General features: G+C 44.3%; 1 protein-coding gene and 1 long non-coding RNA gene across 2 annotated transcripts in view; one reads left to right on the forward strand and one right to left on the reverse strand.

Annotated features, from left to right (window-relative positions):
- LIPC-AS1 (LIPC antisense RNA 1) overlaps positions 1-975 on the reverse strand; it is a 63835-nt gene extending 62860 nt beyond the window's left edge. The window contains exon 1 of the long non-coding RNA NR_120338.1: positions 879-975. This is a non-coding gene — a long non-coding RNA (LIPC antisense RNA 1). The remainder of the gene's footprint in view (positions 1-878) is intronic.
- The window catches only part of LIPC (lipase C, hepatic type), a 137854-nt gene that overhangs the window by 65770 nt on the left and 50780 nt on the right, over positions 1-21304 (forward strand). The gene's annotated exons all lie outside the window — the stretch shown is intronic.

Consider the following 21304-nt stretch of genomic DNA (forward strand, 5'->3'; position numbering starts at 1 on the left):
TCAGCCCTGCCCATCTGCCTGTCTTTGTTGTGCGACCACCTTCAGGGTCCTCCCTTGGGCTCAGCAGTGAGCTGACTTGCCATGGAGCCAATGGAGCTTAGGTGTCAAGATCCTTCACTTGCACAAGCCCCTTTCAACCTCCTCTCCCCCAACACACAATTATGTATTCATGATGTATTTTTTTTCTTAAAGAGGACCTCCAAATTATATCTAAGATTCAGGCTCTGTAGAACCTGGCTCTTTCCGGCCAAAATATGATCTTTACAGAGCTCAACATGCCTTGCACACACTAGGTGTTTAATAAGAGCTGAAGGATCAAAGAGAATGGATCCTGACCATGATTACAATTAATTAAGAAAGTGATTAACAGGAAAGGGAAGATTGGTGTTTCTCTCAGGCGAGCTTTCCTAATTCTTCCTCTACCATCAAACTGAAAAAAGCCAATAGTCTCCCCTATCTCAAATCCAGGATCCTCGGAAGGGTTTGTTAAGTCACAGCCAGCTGGACCCCACCTCGCAAGGATGTGGTTCAATAGGTCTAGAGCGGGACTTACAATCTGCATTTCTAACAAATTCCTGGTGATGTTGCCGCTGCTGGTCCGAGGCCCTCACTCTGAGAATCACTTTGAGCCCCTGCGTTATCAATAGGGGCCATATTGCCCCCAAGAGGGTGAAATTGTATCTTGAGGTGGGTGATGAAAAAAGTTTTTATTATAAAGCAGATATATATATATACACACACACATATATATACAGTACACAAACAGGGTGCAGTATATCCCTGGTGCTAAAACTTCACGGGTAGACAATTAGGGGGTAAAAATGTCTAGAAAGACTCTTTAGGGGGGCAATCATGATAAAACATTGAGAAACACTGACCTGGCCCAAGTGCCTACTTGGTGCTTACTCCCCAGCAGCTGAGCCAGAAGCCCTCACCTGCAGAGACCTGCAGCCCACACCATCTGATACTGTGGAAGAAGCATTAGACTGGGAGTCACAAAACCCAGGTTCAAATCCTAGCTCTGCAGTAACTTCAGGCCTTCCCAGCCACACCCACTTCAGCTTCTGTACTGAAAGAGACAAAGTTACAACCAAAACTGCCAGGGAAAGAATGCTGTGCGTGCTTGGAAGAGATACATGAGGGGGTTGTTTATACAAATAGGAGTGAGCAATACTCCACAGGGCATTGTTGAGTAGCAAAAGCAACACATTAAACCATCTCCCAAGGAGGCTGGGCCTGTCAACGGCCTTGCTTCGCTGAGCATGGAAAAGCACGTGTCAGGCAGAGCAGGATTACTCGGCACAAGAGAGGCCAGGCTGGGGTGGGAAGAATGGAGAGACAGTGCCTGCCAGTGACAGGCTGGGGCAGGGCGAGAACACCAGGGAACATGCACATCGATCCTGATTTGAGCAAGTGTTCTCAGAGGCAGCTCTATAAATTCCTTCACCACCCCTAAGAATTTTGTACTTTGTCGCCTGCCTCTAAACAATGCCTTTGGGGACAGCAGATTCTTTGGGGGTAGAGCCAAAAGAGGCTGAGTCTACTTTAATGTTATGCTGGCTCAAAAACAGACTCACACATAGTGGGAACCACCAGACTCCTGGGTTACAAGTCTTGTGTCTCTGTTAACTATGTGTCCAATCTCCCAGGCCCTAAACTAGGATTCTTTAGGAATGAGTATGTAACAGGAAAGGGAAGATCTGTGTTTCCCTGAAGCAGCTTTCATAATTCTTCTACCATCAACCTGAAAAGAACCAATAGTCTCCTCTATCTCTAAACCAGATTCCCATTTCTTCCTTAGAAACTATGTCCAGTCAGCCACCGAACCCTATAAGTTGATCCCAGTGGATCAACTCTTCCGCTCCGGTTTCTCTGAGCACCTAGGAACTGGTCCCTGTGTCTCTCCTGGGGGGATCCATTTCTTATCCAGGCCCCAGCTCTGCCTGTCCAGCCCAGGAGCCACCCGAAATGCTAAATCTGTCTTCTTGCTAAACAAGTTGGATTGTCATAACTGTATAGCCCTGGTCTAAGTGAGGTTGGATAACAGAAGTGGTCTAGGAAAACTGTGTCCTGGGGAGGAGGTAAAGTGATAAATAGGATGTGGTCACGGTGTCCTAGGCAGTAGCCCCTCACAATGCCAGTGGATGTCAGGATCACGAATCAGGGAGGTCTGTTTCGGTAGAAGACATGAGTTGGGGAGGTCTGATTTGGTACAAGAGATCCAGAACTTGTGTCCAGCTGGAGTAAGGAGAGTAAGGTATAGCAGAGACAGGACAAAGTAAATTGGACCTCAGAGACAGGGCACGGGGCAGAGTCTGATTCCAACTGAAACGTAAGGATCCCCACATCCCTCAACAGTCCCTCAGATGGTGAGGTTTAGGACACAGTAAGGAGGGGTGGAAAGAGCATGGGTTTGGGTATGTCTTCCCTCATGAAAACCGTGGAGCCAGAAGCAGTAGTGTTACAGTGATGTCATCCCCTGAGGCTCAGTTTCCTCGTAGGTAAGGTGGGAATGGAAATGACTGCTGCATAGGCTGTGAGATGATTTTGTGAGATGTAAGCGCCCAACAGATGGTGGTGATGACGATGTTGGAATCAGGTGACTCTAGCCTCTTCACTGTCACGCTTGCTCTCGTCTGAACGTGCTTCCATGTCTCCATGTTGCTCTTGTGTCCACAAGCAAAAGCAATAATCCATTGCCATTTAACCAGCACAAAACTGAATGAGGCTGTCACCTTCCTTTTCTGAAACACATGCTTCAGACAGCGCAGTCTACAGTCACTTGAGGGCTGGGAGAAGATGCTGTACAATATTTACTCCTGTTGAAAATTATAATCAATAAGTCCCTGACTGTTTTCATATGTGCTGCTACTAAGCTACCACTCCCTGACCTTGAGCAGATAGATTTGGGATCCACGTGTAGCCCTGTTAAATTTTGTCTTTTCAGATTTAGTCTCTCCCTCTCTCTTCTCCCCCCACCACCCCCCTCTCCCCCCACCACCCCCCTTCTCATCCTTTTTGACACTTTTAGATTTGATATCTCTTCTAGCTTCTTGACATCTGAAATGTGGTGAACTCATCCTCTATATTATCCAAATCAATGACAAAACTCTTGACTAAGACAAAGCCACGTCAAAACACAGGAACCCCTACCCCCTTGGAAGACACACCAGGCCATTCATTGATACTTTTGGGGTGCATTGCTCCCATTAGTGACACAACCTTACCATTCTCGCAGCCAATCCATATTTCTCCCATCTTTCCTCATGGGCATCACTGAGAAACCTTAGCAAATCTGCTTCCCAGACCCTTCTGTTCTCCTTTCACTCCCTCATTTGATCAGCCTCTGGGTCCTGCTGACTCCACCTTAAAATGCCTCCTGTGCACCCTTTCCTCTGCGTCTCTACAACCGCACGCCTCACAGGGATTTGTCATCTCCTCCCAGAACATTGCAGTGATTTCCTAACAGGCCCCCTCGCCTATATACCTAGACTCTTTCTGGGAGGGATTTAAGGTGGCTCAGCCTATGTATATTCACATGTCTCCACCTACTCCCAATGTGATCATTACCTAGAGGCCTCTCATACTTTTTTTTTTTTTTTTTAATGCCTGAAGTTTTTTTGTTTATTCCTTTTTGTTTTCCAGCTCTACCCACCAGTATTTTTTTGTTGATGACAGATCTTCTCCTAAAATGACAAAGAATTTAGAAACATTTTCCATGTATTTTTAACATCTGCGTCAGTGAACAAAGAAATCATAGTTGATGATGGGGTGGGGAGGGAGAAAAGGGAAACTTAATTAGCTTTAGTTTTTATAAGAACTTCCATCAGCGCTGAATGAACTGGAATATGACATCTGATTGGGCCTAATCACAAGGAAGAGTACATTAACTTGCCGTGAATATATTTACCAGTTTTTACAATACCATTTTTAAATCTCTACAGAAGCCAATTTTCTTACAAGAAAATTACCCTACCAAGATTTTTTTTAGAACAAGCAAACCCAAATTTCTTTCTTACCCTAACCCAGTTCATCCAGCTCTGACACTGTGGCCTGAGGACAGACACTGATGCTATCTTGGAGCCTCTGCCTCTCCACCCTTCAGGAATGTTCTGCACCCTGAAGGAGGTAGGAAAACTTGAGGATGCAAAGAAAAACCAGACATCTGTTATGTCTCTTGATGTTAGGGAGTGGGAGTGAAATTCCAGCTCACCCACTCTCCTGGGGAGGCTAGAATTTAATGGGATGCTTGAGATGCGTGGGCCGAGGGTGAGGCTGCAGCCAAAGATGCTTGAGGCTGGACCTGAAGGTGATTTAGTGACCAGAGGGCAATGCCAGGGAGAGAGAGCCTTGCACGGAGTTAGTGACACTACAGTTCCCAGAGTGGGGCAGGAAGAAGCAGGCACACCATGACATCTTCTCATTTTCTTTCCTTCTCTGCCGTTCCCCAGATGCCCCCTCACCAATTCATCAGCCCTTTCTTTCCTTCCACACAAGCTGCTCAGCACTTTGGCTCTGCTCTGGAAACATTTCCATTCCTGTGCTGCTACAGAACCCACCCTCCCCACCAGATTGGATGCACCTGGACAGCAGGATTGTGACTTAGCTGCCATCCCGAGTTTTACCTGGCACACGCAGGTGCTAGGTAGTATTCCTTCAAAACAAGGAAAAGGTGGTGTCGCATCCCTACTTAGCTCCTACCGTTGGGTTGGTTTGCAAATTTTGCATTGAATTCCATGTAATTTTCTCTTTTTTTTTTTTTGTTTGTTTTTATGAAAACGTATCATTTAGCCTGCCTTAACTCTTGCTTTGAGGTCACAAATGTCAAAGTGGTTAACTCCAAGTCACCTCCAAGAACATTATTCCTATTGGGTTAAGGCTCCACCCTTTTGAGCTCTAATTATCTCCTTAATGTGTGAGAACTGGGGGAATATGTTCCCAAATTAGAAATAAGTTCTCTAAAACTAAGGCTTCCAATGCTGAAGAGAATGTACAAAATGAGAAAGGCATACTCAGTCCTTCACTTACACAGTCAAAGAGCAATTTTTAGGGCACTCCCATGTGCCAGACAGCCCAACAGGCTTTAGGGAGGCACAAGGATGAAGAGGACATGGTTATCAGCACCCCCAAGCAACTCTCAGCCTGTAGAGCTTTCCTAATCATTCAACAGGTATTTGAGGTGCTGAAACATTGTTTAAAAAAAAAAAAAAAAGCCCAGGTGCAAACACTTCTATCAGATGTGCCATGCATCATTGACAATAGTATACACATATTATTTATAATATGTATAGGTGCTTTATAAATATTAACTCATTTTATCTCCATAATAACTGAGCTATGGACAATAAATGATTATTATGGACAATCTCTTAACCCTCACAATTCAGACAGTGTTGCTAATCCCATGTCAAAAAGGGGGAAACTGAGGTGCAGAAAAGTTAACTTTCCCAGAGTCACACAGCCTCTTAAGTGGTAGAACCAAGATTTTATTTGTCTTCCTGGTGTAAGAGAACTTGGTGGGTTCCTTAAACCCTGTTCAGGATCTGTCACTGGATTTGCCTGTTGTGCATTCAGAGGCTGGAGAAGGAGTGGAGGGGGCAGAGTCCAAGGTAGGACACTAAGAGTCAGGGAGAGGTGATTTGTGAAAGGCTTTAGGGGCAGCGCCAGCCTCTGGATAACAGGGACCCTGGTGGTACCAAGGAATCATTGGCAGGACTCTGGGAGATGAGGACTTGGTCTGCATGGGGCAGCACCTCGCATCTGATACTGGCGCATATCAGCACCCTACTGGACACATTCAAACAGGCAGCACCCTGTGAGTGTCTCAGCACCAGCACATCAACCTTCCAATTCACCAACTCACTCCAGGGAATGTGAAGGGCAGGGTTCCACTGGGCCGCACCACCCAGCCCGGGGTGGCCCCAAAGGCAGAGGGGATGTGAGTGCTGTCTCTGTGAGCCTAAGTAGGCCCTGCACCTGCCAGAGACAGGGCACAGAGCAAGTGTCTGAGGGCAAGTCACCTGGACACAGCAGTGGCAGAAACCAAGGAGTAGGCATGCCAGGCAGGTCTCCAGCAGCCTCTGAGTTTCCAGGCACAGGGCCCACACCAGGGTGGACTTTTTATATGTACATACACACCCACACACCCACACCCCCACCCAAACACACACACTGCACCAGTCCCGTTTCCTCAGATGGACATTTTTCAGAAGAAAGCCAATGACACTAGCAAGTCCATGACCCATTTCAAGATATGACAGGACATCATTTTCCAAGTGGAGAAAACAAAAATTCTCAGAAAGCCCTGTATACCACAGAAATCCATACACCAGTTTCAAGTCTCATCCAACAGACCAGCCAGAGTGCAGGGCCACAGGGCACCCTGGCTGGAGTGAACAAGCTCCCTCCAAACCCCCTCAAGATTCTAGGCCCACCAGCATAAAAGTCCTCTTGATGGTGGGGTCATTCCAACCCCATCTGGGGTTGTAACCTCTCAGAGCAGAGGAAAATAAACAGGCTGTTGTCAGGCAGCCCAGGGCAGAAGTGATGACACCTGCTCATTCTGAATTTATCTTTATTATACATTATGGCCACCTGTGGACCATTCAGAAAAGATGCTTTTTGAGTCTCAAGCAAGTGACTCTTTAAGCCGAATCACAAAGAAATTCCCATTTTGGCCAGTTCTGTTTCTGGACGTCAACACCCCCCTCTCTGTATGAATAAGGGGTCTTCCAGATGGCCAGGAACAGCACTCAACAGGCCAAAACAAAGCAGAGGGTGGCTTGAGAACTACACTGCTACATTCAGCCTGAGGCCCAGCATCGACCTGGCCTTCTCCCACTTCCAACAACTCATTTTGTAGCTTTTTGGTTAAGAACAAATTTGGATTTCTTCTTTTTCTCCTCCCAGTAATCTCAAATGTATCAGAAGAAAGGAAATTTCTACCATTATTGTCAGAAACAAGACAAGTAAAAGGCCATCCTCAAATACTAGTGTTCTCTTCACCAGACAGCAGCACACGTGGAGAGTAGCAGATCTCTAAGCACGACCCAGTGTGTAACTCCAAATGGCCCCATTATCCTATCTCGAGGAGAGCTGCGCATGCTGTACCCTGTTTTACATGGCCTGCCATGCTTCTGGTAGCAAAGCAGTAATCTCCTGGTTATGTAGCACTGGGGATGCCAATAACAGCCAGATAAAGAATAGAACTCATGAGGCCAGTTATTTTCAGTCAAACCAAGCTACAAAAACCACAGTCATGCAGAAGCTGGAGGAACCACCAAGGCAAAGAGAATGGAAATTCCCTTATGCTAGACAGCACAGGTCCCCAGTTTTCTGGGGCATCTGAAACTTGATGTGACAGCACTGGGAGAGGCCAACAGTCCACGAATAGGCCAGGACCTAAGGGGAAAGGCTACCACTCTACAGCCGGCCATCAGGGTGCTGGGCTACAGCAGGGCTGGCAGGAGCAGACGGAGGCCACATGCCAACTCCAGCCTCTGCTACATATGGTCCCAGCCCCCCTACTCACCAGCCATGCGGCCTCAGGCAAGTGGGATAATCCCCGTGTCTCAGTTTCCTCATCTTTAAAAAGTGGGATAATAAAAGATTCATGTACTTTATAGGGTTGTTGTGAGGATCAAATGATTTAATATACAAAAAAATGTTGACAACAGGGCTCAACACAAAGTGTGCTCAACAGCTGCTGTTGGTATTGGTGGTGGTGGTGAATGGTCTGCCAGCTTGGTAGGGATGTCTATGAAGTGGGACAAACATTTCATGAGTATGAAGATAGACTGTTCAGATGATACTCATCTAATGCCATTGGCAGCTCCTCTCTTTATTGTACCAAGATCTGTTTCCTTCACGTTTCACCCAACGTCAACCAGCCCTTCCCTTCTTTGGACTAAGTCTCCCTTCAACACATCCTCAAATGACACAGTTTCCAGTCCCCTCACTCTTAGTCACCCTCCTTGGAACAAGCTCAAGTTGCTAAACAACTATCTCTAAAGCCAGTTCCCACCCGAGCCAACATTCCAAGGCCAAAAACCATCACCTCTATCATGAGTTGAGTATCCTGCTTTCATTAGGGGACTGCACTGACGTGGCTGCAGGTTGCTGGTCAGCCCTAGGGAGCCAGTACCATACAGCCAGTACCCGCGAGCTCCCTCCTCACAAGAGGCGGCTGTTGCCTCCTTGTGCCAGAGCTCCTGGGCTTTGGATAGAGGAATTCCACTGCTTGGGTCTCATCCTTACTCACCAACTTGGAGGAACTTCCATAGAGTGGATGGCAGCCGCCCCTCCCCACTCTGTCTCTGTGGTGTGTGCCCCACCTAGGCTGTGTTTGGGTGCCTGTAGTACCTCTTCCTGTTCTTGTCTCAAACACACACCTGTGGGGCTCCTTTCCCAGTACCGTGCTTCACAACGGGGCTCTCCTTAGCCCAGGAGGGGAGAGGCTGTGCAGAAAGGAGACTTCTATGACACCCTTGGGGCAAGGGTGTTGTTTTGCTCCTTCCATAGATCTCTGAAGCCACAGCTATGCAGGAGAACAGAAATAGAAGCCAGCCACACCCAGTCTTCTTTGGCATGGGCACATTGAACGGGCTCAGTTCTCCTGCCACGACTGAAAGGGCACCCTCCCACAGAAGGCACATGACCACTGTTCCAAGACAGTCCAGATCAGGAGAGAGGCCTTTGACCAGGGCAAAGCAGGTGCTGATGAGAAGGCACAGCAAAGGTGGCCCAAACCACTCTGCCTATTCCCTATCCCTCCCCTGTTAACTCCACTCACAATTCCAAACCCAGAGCCCTAGCTTCTGAGATATCCAGGTAGGCGACAAGATTTTCTTTCTCTACATGATACAGACTGCTGAGAGGCTCCCCTAACAAAGCACCAGTATTCTCCCTGAAGACACAGGCTCAAATTATGCTCTATTCAAAGCTGGCTGTGTTCCCAACTCCTAAGCCCTGCTGGCTCCCTCTGCCCCCCACCCTGACGTGGGGGAAGATGCTACAGGTGTGGGGGTGTGTTAGTCCATTCTCACACTGCTAATAAAGACATATTTGAGAAATACCCGAGACTAGGAAATTTATAGAGGAAACAAGCTTAACTGACTCACAGTTCAGCATGGCTTGGGAGGCCTCAGGAAACTTACAATCATTGCAGAGGAGGAAGCAAACACATCCTTCCGCAAATGGTGGCAACAAGGAGAAATGCCCAGCGAAGGGGTAGGGGAAGCTCCTTATAAAACCATCAGATCTCGTGAGAACTCACTGTCACAAGAACAAGCTGGGGGAAACCACTCCCATGATTCAATGATCTTCACCTGGTCCCTCCCAGGACATGTGGGGATTATGGGAACTACAATTCAATATGAGATTTAGGTGGGGACACAGGCAAATCATAGGAGTGGGGAAACCAGGAGAACAGGGAAATAAAATTGGTTTTCACAATAGCTAAACTTTCCCTATCCTCTTGAGAGTATTTCTAAGCAAAAGAGAAATATACTTTTCTTTTTGCTTTCTCTAAAAAAAGAAGGAAAGAAGGAAGGAAGAAAAAAATGGAGGGAGAGGAGGAGGGAAGGAAGGAAGGAAGGAAGCAAAGAAGAAAGGAAGGTCAAACTGACTTGATTTAGCTCATTATTAAACATGCAAATAAGAAAATTCCTGTTCTTGGAATGTGATCAGTCATCTGCATAAGGTCTTGCGACATATCTACGATTGAATTATTTCTTTGAATCAAGGATTCCCCCGGCCACACACAAATCAGTACTTGCCTTACTTTGGAAAACGAAAAGAGCTCACTAAAGTGGTCCCTCTTATAATAAGGTGAGAGTGGCCTCTAGGACAAATTTCAGCTTGTACAATTCTGGAATACAGAAAGGGTAGCTGGCTAGCGACCTTTTTCCATACTCCACCAGGCACTGTGTAGAGGCTAAGGGAAAGCTTCCCCTTTGCCCTCTGAAAGCTCACTGAAAACTCACAGAAGACAGATTAGTAGAAGAAAAGGCATACGAATTTATTTTAACATGTCTAGCACTGGAGGATCCATAGAGAACAATTACCCATTAACCCTTCTTCATAGGGGAAGGGGAGATGGGGGAAATGTGGCAATTTGAGGGATGGTAAATGATTTTTAGGGGGAGACGAGTGGACTTGGGGAACTTACAATGGCCATGGACGAAGTCTGTTGGGACTTCAGAGCAGACAAGGGCTGGTAAATGATTCTCTTTGAAATACTGAATGAGCACCAAAACAGAAGACGATGGTTTGTGACAAAATACTGTCCAGGTGTGTTGACAGACTTCAGTCTTTCTTCCTGTGATATGGGTTCAGTTGATGAAAACTCAGGGAGGAGACTAGAGGTAATTGCTTTCTTCCTTGGTATTTCCAGACTTTAGGCAGATAAGGGATGAAGAGAACAACTTCATCCAGAGCTTTGGGAGAGATGAAGAATTGAGAGATGGGGTAGGGCCAAGGGTGGGGGGTAGGGAGTGAAGATCAGAGAGACCCTGAGGCTCTTCTTATTTCAGCATGTCAAAGCACCATATTTTGGGGTAACAGTTGCTGAGCCCCAACAACTGCCACCCCATAGTCAAATTAAGCCGATCATCCCCAAAGCAATATTAGTCCAGTCCAGTTCCTCTCATGACAAATGACCTGAACACAGGATTCAGCGAGTCTTACTCGCTGTGGTCATTTTGGAGGTAGGGAGATCATTAACCCACATACTTTGATAAAATACGAAACGCCTTTCCTAGCTGGTTCTTTTCCTCTCCTATAGGCCGACCCCCCTCCATCCCTTTATTAGTATTGAACTGAACAAATTAGTTAATATGGGAACATTTGGATGTATCAACTTTGCTCTGAAACAAAAATGTATTCATCCCCAAACTCTATGCTGGGGGCTGAGGGAGAGTCCTTACGACTGACATAGTCCCCAACAAGGTTCTCATTAGTCCCAGTTTTTTTTTGGACACCTTTTCCTCCGCATTCACATCCTTCTGCCCTCTCCAGCACTGTGCAGGAAGAACCAACCAACCTGACCTTGGTGAAAGGGCTGTGGGTTTTTCAACCCTTCATTCCTGCTACTTTTTTTTTTTAATTTTTTAGTATTCTTCTGTGCATCCTTTCTTCTCTCCTAGGCTTCTCACCCAGCCTCTCTGTTGAGTACTACTTGTAGGCAGAGCTCCCTCATTCACAACATCCCAATGTATTTGTCCTGTATCAAAGCAAACCTTATACAGTAGCTCTTTTAAGAACTGCTAAAGGAATGAAGGAACAAAACTGAGCCAAATAAAGCAAAATGAAGAGGATATGTATGCAGGCAATTGTGGGAACATATCACCAGAATCCTCTCTTGTTATTGTACCCAAATCCACACATTCTCCTCAGTGTTGTCTGGGAAATACATCAATCCACTGTGAATGGTTTAGATAGAATAGAATCCATCAATGTCACCAGCTTGATTCCTCCTCAGATGATGAGCCACTTTCTCCACTCCACCTCCAGGGCTGGCCCCAGTCTTCCTAAATGTTCATTAACTCCTATTAGGTATTCCGAAACTCTCAGGTTTTCTGAGTCAGCATAGAATGGTTGGAAAAGCAATTGCTGTAGAATCAAGAAGACTGAAATTGGAATACTGGAGCAACTACCTACTAGCCACAGGCAGGTTACTCTCTCTGAGTCTCAGGTTCCCCATTTGCAAAATGAAGCAAAGCTATCTACTCCAAGGATTGCTGTGAAGATTAAAAGACCACGTGCTAACCTAATAGGTGTTCAGTAAATAAATATAATTTTCTATTTTTCCCTGCAAAATTCATTTCCCAAACACAATCTTTATTCTTTTTTTTAACATATAATAGCCATACTATGGCTTACCAACTCCCCAGTAAGCCAGGACTCTCTGTATACGCAGTGTTTTGCCACATCATTTACATGGATGAAATTGTTTCCTATACTCCCAAATTTACCCTGCTTGGTGACCAAGAATCACTTCTGTCCCTATTACTAGTGATATCATGTCTGCATTTAGAAACAGACAAGTGTTATACAAAATTACATAATATGATAGGAATGCTGTCAATGGATATCTATTATTATATTTACCAGTCAAAATTTTAGTTGTTATAACTGGTATCACCAATTAAAAAATTTTATAAGAAAGGGGTTTTTGTACCATTGGATCTATTGAATCATTAAAAAAAAAAAGAGTTTAGAAAAAGAAGAAGCTATTTATATACTATTTCATTCCATAAGACTTTATCCAGTTCCACTGTTAATAAAATGTACATGCGCAGAATTGTATTGTTTTCTCCATTACTAAACATGTATTTGCTGAGTACCTTCTGAATGCCAACATGGTGCTAGGTACTGGGCATAGGGTGGAAGACACAATAGACAAGGACACAGCTCCCTGGTATGGGAAACAGATACTTTATGTCTTCAGTTGTAAGGTCCACTGTTGTTCCTATTTAATATCTTTGAATGTGGAATATATCTTACAATGCTGTGGGCTAGGGCATGGTTGTGACATTGATAAAAAGGGCTCTTAACTGCCATCGCTTCAGTTGACTTGCTTGCCTTTTTGAGTGGCAGTGCATGGCTTGAGCTTAATTTCCATTCAGAAGGTTTTTGAAAAGACTAACTCATTATTTGCACATAAAAAGGCACAGAGACAGAGGTGAGGCATAAATTTGATATTCATCATTAGAGTAACCATCATCCTATGTTTTCTTACAAAGTAACAAAAAGTGTTTTATGAAATGTAATCACAATATATGAAGCTGTGCTTTACTGGTGCACATGCAAGAGGATTGCCCATCAGGCTCTAAGCAAAGCAACTAAGAGTAGGAGAAACTGCCAAACCCTAAAGTAGGGGAAAGAAATCTCCAAACAACAAGAGGCACTGTGACCAATTCACATAAGACTATCACTAAGACATCAGGTTTTAACTTGTAACTTGCTTTTTTCCTTGTTAGTGGTATGTTAAACAATGGTATATCATGCTATTTGTGTATACTGGATTCAATGAAATACTATAATAAACAAGTAAGCAAAACATAAGATCATAACACGTCCTGAAAGGACCTCTCAGCAAGAGTGACACATTGCCAAGTAATGCACATTGTTCCACATGGAGTTGGTGAGGATAACAGCACTTCCTTCCAGAAATACTTTAGTATACAAAGTGCTGTCACGTGATGACGTCTCATTTCAGCATCTCAACAACCGCACCTGGAAGGCCTTATTATTTTGTATATTTACGGATGAAGAGACTGGATCTCAAATAGCTTAAGAGACTTCCCTAACATAACTCAGCTAATGCCTGGAAGACCCAAAACTAGAATCCAGGGCTCCTGACTCTACATCCTATGTTTTTCTTCTCGGCTACATGAAATGGTACAAAATACGAATTAAATGATTATCCATGGTCTTGTGTAATTCTGGCATGTTTCCAGCTAAGACTTCTCAGCTGTTCATTCAACTCAAAGGCATCCTTCAGTCCTCTTCCCCATTCTTCTCTGTCTCGGGGATCTGCCTGGGGAGGGAGTGTGGTGAAAGCAGAGTAACTGAATCCTCACTAACCCCAAGGCCCTAACGCAAGGAGATGCAGGCAATAAATCATTCCATTGCATTTACCATTGCATTGCATTTACCATTGCATTGCATTTACCCATACGTGGGGCTCTCCAGGGATGGCATCAGATGCTGCAGGAACATGAATGATAAATACCACATCCCAAGGGTTAGGGCCCAGGCAAGTTCTCAGGGGAGAGCTATACATATGACTGGTAAAACCCACTATGTCCAGAAGACAAGGGCACCCTGCTGGTTTGCATGAGCAAAGCTAAATTGGCGCTGACAACTGGCAATAGGTATTGAGAGTCTTTTTAAAAGTTGATGTCACTTAATCTAGTAATCCCATTTCCAGGAATTCATTCAAAGAGAATTAATCTGGGATATAGAGAAAGGTCTATGAATAAGATTGCATCACAGTGTGGTTTACATTTGGAAAAAACTGTGGTTGTAACTTAAGTTACAACAGTAGAGGGTTGTTCAAATATTATAATTCTGGTACAACCACACGTTAGGATTCTCTCTTGCCAATTATTGATGTCGTGGGGGAGTGTTCAAGACAAAACATTGAGTTATAAAATCAGGATTCTAAATTATATATATACACACACATACACACAATTAAACTCAAACATACACATGGAGACACACACAGCATTTTAAAACCTAGAAGGAAATCACAACCATAATACAATAGTTATCTCTGATTATGGGAATACAGGTAATTTTGGTGATTTTCTCTATGTTTTCTTTTTTTTCTTTTTCTTTTTTTTTTTTGAGACGGAGTCTCAATCTGTTGCCCCAGGCTGGAGTGCAATGGCATGATCTCAGCTCACTGCAACCTCCTTCTCCCAGGTTCAAGCGATTCTCCTGCCTCAGCCTCCCCAGTAGCTGAGACTACAGGCATGAGCCACCAAGCCTGACTAATTTTTGTATTTTTAGTAGAGATGGGGTTTTACCATGTTTGCCAGGCTGGTCTCGAACTCCTGACGTCAGGTCATCCACCTGCCTCGGCCTACCAAAGTGTTGTTGGGATTACAGGCATGAGCCACTGCACCTGGCTGTTTTTCTCTAAGTTTTCTACAATGTTTTATTTTGCTTTTTAAGACAGAAAGTCCACGCAAATCAGTCAGGAATAGATGTGAAAAATGGGGATGGGGCCTTTGAACCAGGAGCAATATGAGAAGGTGAGAAGGATGGCCTGGGCCGGCTGGGTCTGCGAGACTACCTGGAAAAGCCACGGGAATCACAGCCCACAGGGTGACATCTCCAGATCCAGCAGTCTTTTAGGAAGGCAGATGGAGTCTCAGACCTGTCCCACCCATCTTAAAGTGGCCTGGTCACAGGGTCAGAGCTTCAGCAGACAGAGGCGCCCTGGGATAAGTTGCCAAATATGGGTTGAGCAACAGTGGCACTGGAACGAGGTAGGAGGCGGGGAAAGGGGATGGAAGGTAAAATCCTGCCCCTGTCCTCAAGGTACTTACAGTCAATGTGAGGAAGGCTGACAGCCATAAAATGATGACCTATGACAACGAGGGTCGTTCCACACACATCCTCCAGACCCCGGCACAAGACCTCCGCCTTTCATCTCCATTATATTGGGCAAAACACAAAGCATCAACGAAAAAAAAAAAAAAGTAAAAGTACATAGAAAAGGAGACACAGAGGAATACAGAAAAGCAAAAACCTCCTTCAAACTGGTGGATGTTTCATCCCAAAGGACGCTCGACCTTTCTCAGGCATCCTGCCACTGAAGAAGTCAATTACTCACGGCCCACAGTCCCTAGGTTCCGCTCAGCACAGTCTGGAATCAAGGGTTCATTTAATGGAAGCTTAACAGATTCAGATTTCTCTAATATTCCACATCCCCTTCTGCCAAGAAGCTGCTTTGAAAGATGACACTCCCTTGATGTGAATTTGCAGCCTGCCCCATTAACAAGGCTTCAGTCAGAAAACATTTTTAAATCAACCCTGTTCCAGACACTTGCTCCCAAGGACAAACTAGAAGAAACTCTGCACCAGCTCAAACCTTCCAAGCACTTTGATGATCAGAAATGAAGGGAAATATTAGAACAAATCTTATTAATCCAAATATTCTCAACAATCTTCAAAGCAAACCGTTGCTCTGGGCTGCAGAAAGCAGAGCTCATGCAGAGCCGGCCCTTTCTGTCCTAACTCCTGTTAGCCAAGCCAGCCCCCTAAAAACAGACCTCAGAACAGCAGAGGGAAATATTCAGAATCAAAGGTGATGGGAGGAAAAAGGAAGAGGAAACAGGTAAATGAAAGAAGGAGGATGAGGATTGGAAAGCTGACTACTTAAACTTTTAGCACGTCCCTCAAATAAAAGGATAAGGTGTTGTATGCCACACTGCCTCAAAGCAACTCCCTCAGTTCACAGTTGTGCAGCTGAGAATTCTGGAGAAACCCCACGGCAGCTGGCATCTATGTCCTGGCTCCACTCACAAGGGGCTGAGAACCCCAGGACTCCTCACCATGCACATTTCTCTTGGGTGTGGTGGGAGGAGCATTTCCGTTTCCAAACCTCGGGGCCATTTGCTCTTAGATACACAAACATCTCCCCAGCCTTTGCCAAGTTCACCCAGCCAGAAGGCCATAATGCAGAATTAGTAGCATTTCAATCATTTCCGTGACGAGCTGGTGACAGGCTGGAATATGATGAGTGAAGCAATCAGATGTTGTTACAGGAAAGAGGCATGAGAAGAGAATGACAACAGAGTGGTACAGTAATAAGCATCATCGTAAAAGCCCCCACTGGCATCAAGTTTATCATCGCCAGCATAACTAAAGGAGCCAGAACACCTGTTTGTAATGGGGATTCCAGCTCCTCCACTTTCTAGCTGTGTGGCTGAGCACGCTTCTCGCCCTTTCTAAGTCTTGGCTGAGCATCTGTGGAAGGTGGATAGCAATCGCTACTTCATAAGATTGTTTAGTGATTAAAGTCAAACAATGTCTATAAGGCATTTGCAAAGCATTAGCAGTACCAGTAGTACCAGTAGTAGTAGAAGTAGTAGTAGTATTTGGTATTATAAGGAGTATTTTATATTATTTCAAATAGGATTATGCACTATTTCATTATACCCTTATCTCATATAGAAGACATTTTTAATGCTATTTGATTGAAAGTAGACCAGAGACTCAGAAAGGTTAAACCTCTTTCCTAGTAAGTATAAAAAGTTAATGCAGGCCAGGTGCAGTGGCTCACGTCTGGAATCCCAACACTTTGGGAGGCCAAGGCGGGAGGATCACCTGAGGTCAGGAGTTTGAGACCAGCCTGGCAAACATGGCAAAACCCCATCTCCAGTAAAAATACAAAAATTAGCCAGGCATGGTGGTGCACACCTGTAATCCCAGCTACTTCGGAGGCTGAGGCAGGAGAACAGCCTGAACCCAGGAGGCAGAGGTTGTGGTGAGCCAAGATGGTGCCACAGCACTCCAGCCTGGACGACAGAGTGACACTCCATCTCAAAAAAAGTTAATGCAGAAATAAGGCTGCATATCGGTTTCCTATTGCTTCTGTTAACAAATTACTACAAATTTAATTAGTTAAATTGACACTATCTTACAGTTCTGGAGTCAAAAGTCCTAAAATTAAGGTGTCAACAGAACTGTGTTTCTTCTGGAGACTCTGAGGACAGAATCCGTTTCCTCACCTTTTTCAGCTTCTAGAGGCCACCTACGTTCCTTGGCTTGTGGCTCCTTCCTATATCTTTAAAGCCAGCAGCATAGCATCTTCCAGTTTCTCTCTCTGATTCTAAGCCTCTTGCCTCTTTCTTATAAGAACCCTTGTGATTACATTGGGCCCATTCAAAGAAACAAGGATAATCTCCCCCTCTCAAGATCCTTACCTTAATCACATCTGCAAAGTCCCTTTTCCATATAAGGTAACATATTCTAGGTTCTGGGGATTCAGATGTGGACAAATTTGGAGGTGGTCATTATTCAGCCTACCATAAACTGGATCCTGTTCTGCAGAACATAGCTATTTGGAGCAAGAATGGGAGTTTTGTTTGCTTTGCTTTAAACTCTTTCATTTCTTTACTCAGCAAATACCATAGAGCAGCTACTATGTGCAGGGCACATTCATAACTCATAACCTCCTCCTCTCTGGATATAACCACATCAGAATCGAGCTTCATTAGTGTGATATAAAAGAGGTCTTTGCATATACACACACATATATATATATATATATATCTCAAAATATCACCAAAACCCATACTTTAAAAAACAAAAAGGGCCTTTGGAGATCATCAGCCAATCCCCTTATTCTATAAAGGGGCAGAGGAGTAATACAACTATCCCAGTGTCAAATAGGGAGTTTGTGAGACATAATGAGGGCCTGAATTAGATCTGGAGGAAAAAAAGTAAATGGAGGTATTTTTGAGAAAAATCAGTGAGCTGAACGGCAATAGGGTAGGAGAAATGTAGGGGTCAAGGGTGCCTAAAGTTCATGGCTTGGGGATGTCACTCACAGAGCTGGGGACAGATAGAGGAAAGACACTTTTGAGGGAAAATATGTATTCAGTGTGTTCTAGAACTCGGATCTCTTCTTAGTGTCACTGTGAAATTTTCCATTACTTCATCTCACTTCCTGTTCTCTCATAAGCGCGAACACGGGGCTGTAATCATCGTCTGACCACCACATGTTAGTGCACTGTGTTTCTTGCTGACACCTGGCTAGGCTTTGAGGATGAGTTTCCATCCCAACATCTACCAACATACAAGGAGCCCAAGGCAATGGGATTTTCTGCGCATCTTTGCTTGAACCTTAAAGGTGCTGCCCCATTGTCTTCTGGTAGGCCTCGTTTCTGGGAAGACGTCTATTGAATTCTTATCTTTGTCACTGAGTATGCAGTTTGACTTTTTACCTCTAGCTTCTTTTTTTTTTTTTTTTTTTTTTTTTGGTCACTGGTTTTCAGCAATTTGATTATTCTGTGGCTTGGTGTAGTTTCCCTCATATTTTTTGTGTTTTGAGATCATTGATCATCTTGGATCTATGTATTTAGTGCTTTCATCAAACGTAGATATTTTTCCACCATTATTATTTCTTTAAGCATTTCTTCTGTCCCCTTTCTTGTCTCCTTTGGAATTTTCAATTACATATATATGAGGCCTCTTAAAATTGCCCGACAGCTCCCTGATGTTCTGTTAATTTATTTTCAGCCTTTATTCTCTGTGTTTCAAATGGATGGTTTCTGTTGCTGTGAATTCAAGTCCACTAATCTTTTCTTCTGCAATGTGTAATCTGTTATTCATCCCACCTAATGTATTTCATATCTCAGACATTGATTTTTGAATCTCTAGAAGTTCAGTTTAGACTTCTTATATCTCCCATATTTCTTCTTAGCATGCTTACATTTTCTTCTACCATCTTGAATAAATGAAATATAGTTATAAGAACTGTTTTAATGTTCTTGTGGACTAATTTTACCATCTATAACAATTCTAGGTTGGTTTTGATTGATTGATTTTTCTCTTCATTATGGGTTGTATTTTCCTGCTTCTTTGCATGCCTGGTAATTTTTGACTAGATACCGGACATTGTGAATTTTACCTAATTGGTGCTGGGTATTCCTACATTATTTTAAATGTTCTTCAGCTTTGTCCTGGGGTGCAGTTAAATTACTTGGAAATAGTTTGACCCTTTTGAGACTTGCTTTAAAACTTTGTTAGATGGGACCAGAACAGCCTTTAGTCTAGGGCAAATTTGCCCCTTGAATCCAAACACTGTTTATGTTGTTAATGATGACAAAATATCCATGTCCCACACTATTCCTTACTAAGTCTCCCTTCAACAATTGTGTTTGAGTAGAACTGTTAACTGCCTCACCTCACTCTCCTGTGTATTCACAAGGCAAAGATCCCCAAGGTTTTGACCAATACCCAATGTTGTTTTGGTGCCAGCTTGCACAGCACCAGGGCTCTTGCCTCTCAGAGAGAATTGTGCCCCCTCTCTCCACTATGTGGCACAGCACATTGAGCTCAACAACGTTCTATCAGACTGATGTTGCCATAACACTGCATATCTTCACCCAGGAGGGGCGACAGCCCTAAGTCTCTTATGTGGCAAAATAAAATCCAACTTTCAGTGCTAAAAAGGCCCTGCTTTTCTGGAGCGAACCCCTTCAGAGGTCTCACAAGCATTTAAAAGAGAATTTCTAGACCACAAGTTTCAGTGTGGAGAGCTGCAGGCTTAGAGAATTGCAGGGATGTTTGAAGCCCTGCCCACAGTTCCAGGAAACACCCTTTGTATATGAGCTCCTTTCCCACACAAATGTGAGAAGGAGGCTATGACCCTGGAAATTGAACACAGGGCAACAGAAACCCTGCCGAAACTATTCTTGCATTGACATTAGACACAAAAACACCCATATAAGCTTGATTTGCTGTCACAGTCAAATAAAACAATAACATGTAAGCATTTCAAAGAGATTCCACTGACATTCTCACTTGTGATTCTGACAACAAGCGTGTAAGTAAGAAAGGCAGGCGTCACAGCTCCTAAGTGACAGACGAGGAAATCAGCCTTGCGGAGGTTAAATGATCTCAACAAGGTCAGACAGCTAGTTGGTGCAAAGTGGGGCCCTGAACCCAGATCTTCTGACTCTTGGTCAAGAGCTCTATTCATTCCGCTGTGTCTGCTCTCTTACTATATCAGAAAAGGGAACAGCCACCAACTTCCTGTGTTGACCCTAGACCAGGACTTCTTGATCACAGCACACTTAACATTTGGGGCTGGATAATTCTTTGTTGTGAGAGGCTGTCCTGTGCATTGAAGGGTGTTGAGCAGTATCCCTGGCCTCTACCCACTAATGCCAGTAGAACTCCCCTTGCCCCCTGTTTTGACAACCAAAACTATCTCCAGGTGTTGCCATGTTTCCAAATGCCCCAAGGTGGGGGAAGGTAACAGCAGAGCAAACTTACCCCTCAGTTGAAAACCACTGCCCTAAATGATGCCTGAGAATGCTGTCCACGTGTTTGAGAAAGCAGTGGTGATTAAGTTAGTTCTGTGAAAGGAGAAACAAAATCAAAAGAGGAACTTGTGCTGATACCAGTGAGTCTGGGACCACGAAACTTGGCCGTGAGAGACAGAATTGTGCAGCACCAGGGAGTTATCTAAAAAGTTCTCTTCTGGGCCACCCTCTGAACTTAACCTTCTGTGTTCTCGCTCCACTCCTTCAGGCTCAGTCAGCTCTGCAAAACCCAATCCACTTTCCAAGGAAACATTTCTGGAAGGCAACACGGAATTAGTTAATGTGATGAGAGGCAGAACAGAGCAGTTAAGATGCAGGCTCTGCACATACCACAACGTGGATGAATCTCACTTAATGTTGGGTGAGAAGAGCCAGGCCCAAAAGAGCATCTATTGTGTGAATCTACTAACTCGAAGTTCAAGAGCAGGCAAAACTAATCTCCGGTGATGGAAGTCTGAACAGTTACATCTGCTGGTGGTGTTGCCTGGAGACACGTTTCAGAGAATAGAAATGTTCTCTGCCTTGATGGTGGTGGTGGTTACGGTGGTTGTAAACATAATAGACACTCACAACACTCACAGAGCTATACACTTACGATTCGTCACCTAAAAAAAAAAAGAAAGAAAAAGAAAAGAAAAGAATGTTGACTCTAGAACCAAATTGTCTAAGTTTCATCCCTGACGATGACTCTGGTTACCTTAGAGCATTTTGTGAAAAGTTAATAAACTACA

The sequence above is a fragment of the Homo sapiens genome, chromosome 15 (genome assembly GCF_000001405.40).
Source record: "Homo sapiens chromosome 15, GRCh38.p14 Primary Assembly".
In the NCBI taxonomy this organism is placed as follows: Eukaryota; Metazoa; Chordata; class Mammalia; order Primates; family Hominidae; genus Homo; species Homo sapiens.